Here is an 8,970-nt window from a genome sequence, read left to right as displayed (position 1 = left end):
CTCTGGGGACTCAGGGGGAAAGGGTGCGAAGGGGGTTGAGGGATAAGAGTCTACAGATTGGGTTCAATGTATACTACTTGGGTGGTGGGTGCACCAAAACCAAAATCTCACAAATCACCACATCCCACATCTGTGGGATCAACTGCCTGGAAGCCTAAGGAGGGATGGACTAGAGGGAGAGATCATGGGGCCTTTCAGGAAATTCACCAGGGGGAATCTACTGGGGGACCAGTGTGAGCAGTAGAGCCCAGTGGGAAGGCGAGGCAGGCCCAGAGGCTCCAGGTCTGGCGTGACACTGTTCCTGATGCTCCTGGATTCAGCACCACCTCTCCCCTCCAGGGCCTGGGTGTTCTGGGACAGAGAGCACAGGGGAAAGAACTCTGATAGGAAATCCCTTTGTAGAGAGGCTTATAGGGAATAGAAGGTGTTTTTCCACAGGCCAGAGAGGAAGATGAGTGGTTCAGAGGGGAGAGAAATTGTGTGCCGGGGGTGATGTGGAGGTCACCAGCAAACCAACAGAATCCACCCAGCACCAGAGCAGAAGAGCTGCACATGGAAGCTCTGGCTCTGTGTCCTGAACATTCTATCCCTGATGCATCCCCTCCCCGACTACCCCCAGTTCAAGATGACTAATGGGAATAATGGTGGGGGAATCACAAGAATATCCAGATGTAGAGTATAAAGATTTTAGCTTCCCTGTAATTATGATTTATCATTCCTCTTTTTTCTCTCCTCCCTCCTTCATCCTTGCTTTCTTCCTTCCTCCTCCTTCTTTCTCTGTCTCTCATTCACTCTTTCTTCTTCTACCTTATCTTTCTCTTTCCCCCCTCTCTTCTGCCTTTTTCCTCCATATGCTCTCCTTTCTCTTTTCTTTGTCTCTCTTCCCTTTCTGTCACTAAACATCCACTGCCCACTCAAGTTGTTCCTGGATCTGTGTGAGGCTTGGTGGAGCACAGAATTTGTGGCAGAATCTCTCCCAGCTATAAGCCCCTGCAGAACATGCTTGTAAATGGACAATTGTAACTGAACACAGTTAACACTGTGATAGAGGGATTTACAAGGCCCAAGGAGCCCAGGAGATGAAACACTTGAGACAGTACTGCTGGACGTGGGTCTTGAGGGGTGTATAGGAAGTAGGTGGATGAGAGGGCAGGAATGGAGGTTGGAGGCATCCTTCAGAAGGGGCACAGCAGTTAGTAGAAGCCTACCAGAGTCCTGGGGGAGCCACAGGTGGAGTGAATGATGGAGCTCCCCAGTGTTGCCACAGATGGCATCCAAGTTCGGTGTCTTGGCAGCCAGTGCAGAATGAGATCACTCCCAAGTGAGAGGATCCCAGAGTAGTGGACCCACTGCTCTTATCTTACATTCCCAGCCGCGTTGTCTTATTCCATTTGTGTTACCATAAAGGAATGCCTGAGCCTGGGTAATTTATAAGGAAAAGAAGTCCATTTGGCTCATGGTTCTGCAGGCTGCACAAGAAGCGTGGCACCAGCAACTGTTTCTGGTGAGGGCCTCAGGAAGCTTCCACTCACGGTGGAAGGGAAAGGAAAGCAGGCATCACATGGCAAGAGGAAGGAAACAATAGAAAGAGGAGCTGTCAGACTCCTTTTTAAAAAATATTTATTTATTTTTATTATTTTTGAGACAGAGTCTCACTCTGTCGCCCATGCTGAAGTGCAATGGCATGATCTTGGCTCACTGCAATCTCCTCTTCCCAGGTTCAAGCTATTCTCCTGACTCAGCCTCCTGAGTAGTTGGGACTACAGGCTCCCTCCACCATGCCCAGCTAATTTTTGTATTTTTTTTAGTAGAGATGGGGCGTCACCATGTAGGCCAGGCTGGTCTCGAACTCGTGATCTCAAGTGATCCACCTGCCTTGGCCTCCCAAAGTGCTTGGATTACAGGCGTGAGCCACCACACCTGGCCCAGGCTCTTTCAATAAGCAGTTCTCCTGCGAACTAAGAGTGAGAACTCACTCACTCTCTCTAGAATGGCACCAAACCATTCATTATGGATCCAATCCCACAATACAAATACAATACAAACACCTGCTGCCAGGCCCCACCTACAACACTGGGGATCAAATTTCAACATGGGATTTGAAGGGGACAGATATCCAAACTATATCATGTGTCATCGCTCAGAAACAGATTGTTCTATCAGCACAATACATTTGCTACTTGGAAAACCACATCACCCTTCCTAATGTCTGGGTTACGGGCTTGGCAATATTGCTGTGAAGCCACTGGTGCACTATCTCCCTACATGCATGTCACTGCAAGCCCTAAGAATTTTTCCTTTTTATCCTTTAGGGTATTTCTATGGGCAGTCTGACCACTGGACCACTGCCATGGCACAGTGCAATACACAGTGTGATCTGCGGGCCAGCCCTGGTCTCTCAAGTTTGTTACAGGTCTGCAACAAGGTAAGTATAGAAATTTGAACCAGGTTCAGTGGCTCATGCCTGCAGTACAGCACTTCAGGAGGTTGAGGCAGATTCCTTGAGCCCAGAAGCTTGAAAGCAGCCTGGGCAACACAGAAAAATCCCATCTCTACAGAAAAAAAAAAAAAATTAGCTAGGCATGGTGGCATGTGCCTGTAGTCCCAGCTACTGAGGAGGCTGAGGTAGGAGGATCTCCTGAGCCTGGGAGATCGAACCTGCAGTATGCCATGATCGCTCCACTGCACTCCAGCATGAGCACTTTGTCTCAAGAAAGAAAAGGGGAGGGGAGGGGAGAGGAGATTGGGAGTAATTGTTTAGGATTTTTATTTTTTTAAATTGAGACAGAGTCAAATTGGGAGTAATTGTTTAGGAATTTTTTTTTTCTTTTGAGATGGAGTCTTGCTCTGTCGCCCAGGTTGGAGTGCAATGGTGCGATCTCGGCTCACTGCAAGCTCCACCTCCCAGGTTCACGCCATTCTCCTGCCTCAGCCTCCCAAGTAGCTGGGACTGTAGGCGCCCACCACCTCGCCCGGCTAATTTTTTGTATTTTTAATAGAGACGGGGTTTGACCGTGTTAGCCAGGATGGTCTCAATCTCCTGACCTCGTGATCCGCTCTCCTCGTCCTCCCAAAGTGCTAGGATTATAGGCGTGAGCCACCATGCCCGGCCTTGTTTAGGAAATTTTTATAGACATTTGACATTGGTATAACATCCAAGCACATGATCTGGTTTTTTTTTTTTAGTTTAATTTAACTTAATTTTTTTTTTTTTTTTTTTTTTTTGGAGACAGGGTCTCGCTCTTTCTCCAGGCTGGAGTGCACTGGCATGAGCTCAGCTCACTGCACCCTCCACCTCCCAGGTTCAAGCCATTCTCCTGTCTCAGTCTCCCAAGTAGCTACCATGCCCGACTAATTTTTGTATTTTTTGGTGGAGACAGGGTTTCTCCATATTGGCCAGGCTGGTCTTGAACTCTTGACCTCAAGTGATCAGCCCACCTTGGCCTCTCAAAGTGCTGGGATTACAGGTGTGAGCCACCTTGCTGGCATTTTTTTTTAAACTTAAGTTCTGGGATACATATGCAGGATTATGCAGGTTTGTTACATAGGTAAACATGTCCCATGGTGGTTTACTGCACCTATTAACCCTAGGTATTAAGCCCTGCATGCATTAGTTACCTTTCCCTGAGGCTCGCTCTCCCCACTCCCCTGCCCCGATCAGTTTTATTTTTTATTGGATTTTACAAAAATACTCATTTGTGAGGGGTTGGGAATTTAAACAACAACAATGGCCGGGCACGGTGGCTCACACCTGTGATCCCAGCAGTTTGGAAGGCCGAGGCGGGCGGATCACGAGGTCAGGAGATCGAGACTATCCTGTCTAACACGGTGAAACCCCGTCTCTACCAAAAATACAAAAATTAGCCGGGCATGGTGACAGGTGCCTGTAATCCCAGCCACTCAGGAGGCTGAGGCAGAAGAATCCCTTGAAGCCAGGAGGCAGAGGTTGCAGTGAGCCGAGATCATGCCACCGTGCTCCAGCCTAGGTGACAGAGCGAGACTCCATCTCAAAAAAAAAAAAAAAACCTCCACACCCCCACCCCGCAACCCCACACACAGGTTCTTGATACAGTTGATAGTACCAGTCTAGAATGGTTCAGAACCATGGACAGCACCTCAATCTCCCTCCAAAACCCTATTGTCATTGCCTCTGCCTGTTTCCAGCTCCAGTGAATGCCACTGGTGAGCTCCTAGCTACCAAATCCTATGGGTGCTTTTAAGCACGTGCCTTAATTGACGTTTCTAAAGCGTTTAACTTTTATCAACATCTGCATCTGTCATTTTTGTTTAAAAATAATTCCCAATGAAATAATAGAAAACGTTCCCCTAGGATTATTAAGATGCCATACCACTAGAATGAGCGGATGGTTTTTTGTAGCTGAAACATATTATTAATCTTAAGACATTGCATTAACAGTTTTCATGTACTTTTTAGTGGGTTCTTGGAGGCAGGAGACAGGTTTCATTCAATTTTGTATCCAACATGTATCATAAGGCCTGGCCCAGAGTTTGTGCGAGTAAATGCCTGCCACTTATCAGCTGAATGACCTTGGACAAAATATTACTAAACTTCTTTTTGATGCTGTTTCCCAAGTTATAAAATTATTATAATAATAAAGTCTATCTCATGCCATTATATTTAAGATGAAATTAGTTAATACCCTTAAAAGTGCTTAGAACAGTGCCTAAAACAGAAGAATAAAAGATATTATCATTTTAAGCCAGCCACGGTGGCTCACACCTGTAATCCCAGCACTGTGGGAGGCCAAGGTGGGCAGATCACCTGAGGTCAGGAGTTCAAGACCAGCCTGGCCAACATGGTGAAACCCCATCTCTAATAAAAACACAAAAATTAACTGGACCTGGTGGTGGGCACCTGTAATCCCAGCTACTCAGGAAGCTGAGGCAGGAGAATCACTTGAACCCAGGAGGCAGAGATGGCACCACTGCACTCCAGCCTGGGTGACACAGTGAGACTCTGTCTCAAAAATAAATAAATAAATAAATATATATATATATGAACAAATAAAATAAAACCTGGGAAATTTGACTCAACTTTTGGCATTCTTTTCTCTGCACCAGATACTTTTCTCCAGATAAAGGAAAGACCCCATACAAAGACCCCATACAAAGGGGCCTCTGTCTTTAAAGAGCTGGCCATATCAGGGGGAGTATGTTCATTCTTATGGCTTCTGTAACAAATTGACACAAATTAATATGGCTTTTCCATTATTCTCTCACAGTTCCAGAGGTCAGAAGTCCAAAATCAAGGTGACAGCAGGGCTGTGTTCCCTCCAGAGGTTCTAGGGGAGAATCCTTCCTTGCTTCTCCCAGCTTCTGGTGGCTCCAGACATTCCTTGGCTTGTGGCTGCATCATTCTCGTCAGTCTCTGTTTCCATCTTCACACAGATTTCTCCTCTGATGTCTTTTCTACTCTCCTGACTCTTACGAAGATTCATGTCATCTGGATTTAGGGCCCTCCCAGGTAATCCTGGATAATTCACCCCAGAATGATCTCATCTCAAGATCTTTACATTAGTTATATTTGCAGCTAGGTGCAGTGGCTTATGTCTGTAATCCCAGAACTCTTGGAGGCTGAGGTGGGAGGATCATTTGAGCCCAGGAGTTGGAGATCAACCTGGGCAACATAGTGAGATCCAATCTCTACAAAAAAATTTAAAAATTGGCTAGGTGTGGTGATGCATACTTGTAGTCCCAGCTACTTAGAGGCTGAGGTGGGAGGATCACTTGAGCCTAGGAGGTCAAACCTGCAGTGAGCTGTGATCTTGCCACTGCACTCCAGCCTGGGTGACAGAGAGGGACCCTGTCTCAAGAAAAAATTATTATTATATTTGTAAAGACTCTTTTTCCAAATAAGGTCATATTCAAAGGCTCTGGGGGCTGAAGCATAGCCATATCTTTTTTGTAACCACTAGTCAACCCATTACAGAGAGCAAGAAGTGTACCCATGATAAGGTATCCAGTGACATTAAAAAATGGGACAATTGGCTGGGCACGGTGGCTCACACCTGTAATCCCAACACTTTGGGAGGCTGAGGTGGTCAGATCACCTGAGGTGGTCAGATCACCTGAGGTCAGGAGTTCAAGACCAGCCTGACCAACATGGAGAAACCCCATCTCTACTAAAAATACAGAATTAGCCAGGCGTGGTGGTGCATGCCTGTAATCCCAGCTACTCGGGAGGCTGAGGCAGGAGAATCACTTAAACCCGGGAGGCAGAGGTTGCGGTGAGCCAAGATTGCACCATTGCACTCCAGCCTGGGCAAGGAGAGCAAAACTCCGTTAAAAAAAAAAAAAAAAAGCACTTCAAGTGGCTTAACCCTTAATTACATAACATGTTAAGGTTAGAGGCTTTTTCTGAGACAAAGTTGCAGCCTCAGCCTCCCAGGCTCAAGCCATCCTCCCACCTTAGACTCTGGAGTAGCTGGGACTATAGGTGCATGCCACCACGTTCTGGCTAATTTTTTTGTAGGGACAGGGTCTCCCTGCGTTGCCCAGGCTGGTCTCCAACTCCTGGGCTCAAGCCATCCTCCCACCTTGGCCTCCTAAAGAGCTGGGATTACAGGTGGGGGCTACCATGCCTGGCCAAGATAGAGGCTTTTTTTTTTTTTTTTTTTGAGAGTCTCTCTGTCACCCAGGCTGGAGTGCAGTGGCGTGATCTCGGCTCACTGCAACCTCTGCCACCAAGGTTCAAGCGATTCTCCGGCCTCAGCCTCCTGAGTAGCTGGGACTGCAGCCGCCTGCCACCACGCCTGACTAATTTTTGTACTTTTAGTAGAAACAGGGTTTCACCATGTTGGCCAGGCTGGTCTCTAACTCCTGACCTCAGCTGATCCACCACCTCGGCCTCCCAAAGTGCTGAGATTACAGGAGAGAGCCACCGTGCCCGGCCAATAGAGGCTTTGAAAAGGAAAGGTTCAGCTGGGCATGGTGACTCATGCCTGTAATCCCAGCACTTTGGGAGGCCAAGGCAGGCGGATCGCCTGAGGTAGGTAGTTCAAGACCAGCCTGACCAACACGGAGAAACCCCGTTTCTACTAAAAATACAAAATTAGCTGGGTGTGGTGGTGCATGCCTGTAATCCCAGCTACTCGGGAGGCTGAGGCAGGAGAATTGCTTGAACCCAGGAGGTGGAGGTTGTGGAGAGCCAAGATCGCGCCATTGCACTCCAGCTTGGGCAACAAGAACGAAACTCGTCTCAATTTAAAAAAAAAGAAAAAAGAAAAGAAGAAAGGTTCAGGAAAATAAATGTGGCTTGATTAGAATGAAGCCAGGAGAGAGGTTAGATCAAACAATGGGTGGAAGTGAATATCCTTACTACAAGTTGGACAACTAGAAGTAGGCTGTCATCAGGCTGCAGACTGGTGGCCTGCAGGCATATTTTGTTTGGCCGGCACAATGTTTACAATTTTTCTTAGATTAGCTGCCAACAGTGACAATGCCACAGTTTCTATATAATAAGAATTTGTGGGATGGGCGCGGTGGTTCACGCCTGTAATCCCATTACTTTGGGAGGCTGAGGTGGGCAGATCATGAGGTCAGGAGATCAAGACCATCCTGGCCAACATGGTGAAACCCCGTCTCTACTAAAAATACAAAAGTTAGCTGGGCGCGGTGGCAGGTGCCTGTAATCCCAGCTACTTGGGAGGCTGAGGCAGGAGAATTGCTTGAACCTGGGAGGCAGAGGTTGCAGTGAACTGAGATTGCACCACTGCACTCCAGCCTGGTGACAGAGCGAGACTCCATCTCAAAAAAAAAAAAAAGAATTTGGGGACATATTGGATAGGAGCTTGAAGCTGTTTTGCCACATTTAACATAAACATGAGAAAATGATAGCCGTGCATATCCTAAGAGGAGTGATGGAGATTATGAGGAAGAAGTGGATCCATCAGTCTGCCCCCCTCAGCTCTGTTGCTAACTTTAAATGTAAAATTAGGCCAGGTGCGGTGGCTTATTCCTATAATTCCAGCACTTTGGGAGGCCAAGGCGGGCAGATCATGAGGTCAGGAGATGGCCAACATGGCGAAACCCCATCTCTACTAAGAATACAAAAATTAGCTGGGTGTGGTGGCAGGCGCCTGTAGTCGCAGCTACTCAGGAGGCTGAGGCACAAGAATCACTTGAACCCAGGAGGTGGAGGTTGCAGTGAGTCGAGATCATGCCACTGCACTCCAGCCTGGCGACGAAGTGAGACTCTGTCTCAAAAAAAAAAAAGTAGAGTTAGCTGGGTGTGGTGTCACATGCCTGTAGGCCTGTAGTCCCAGCTACTTGGGAGGCTGAGGCAGGAGACTCACTTGAGCCCAGGAGGTCGAGACTGCAGTGAGCTATGATTGTGCCACTGCACTCCAGCCTGGGTGACAGAACAAAACCTGTCTTAAAAAAAAAAAAAAGTACATGTGGCCAGGCGCAGTGGCTCATACCTGTAATCCCAACACTTTGGGAGGCTGAGGCAGGTGGATCACCTGAGGTCAGGAGTTCGAGAGCAGCCTGGCCAACATGGTAAAACCCCGTCTCTACTGAAAATACAAAAAATTAGCCGGGGATGGTGACAGGCTCCTGCAATCCCAGCTACTCCGGAGGCTGATGGAGGAGAATCGCTTGAACCCGGGAGGCGGAGTTTGCGGTGAACTAAGACCGCACCACTGCACTCCAGCTTGGGCGACAACAGTGAAACTCTGTTTCAAAAATAAAAATAAAATAAAATAAAACATGTTGAAATGATAATATTTGAAATACATTTGGATAAATAAATTATATTAATAAAATTAACTTCACCTGTTTCTTTTTTTTTTTTTTTTTTGAGACGGAGTCTCACTCTGTCACCCAGGCTGGAGTGCAGTGGCATGATCTCTGCTCGCTGCAAGCTCCGCCTCCTGGGTTCACGCCATTCTCCTGCCTCAGTCTCCTGAGTAGCTGGGACTACAAGTGCCCACCACCACACCCGGCTAA

This window comes from Homo sapiens, chromosome 5 (genome assembly GCF_000001405.40).
Source record: "Homo sapiens chromosome 5, GRCh38.p14 Primary Assembly".
Taxonomy (NCBI): domain Eukaryota; kingdom Metazoa; phylum Chordata; class Mammalia; order Primates; family Hominidae; genus Homo; species Homo sapiens.
This window is presented reverse-complemented; position numbering follows the sequence as displayed.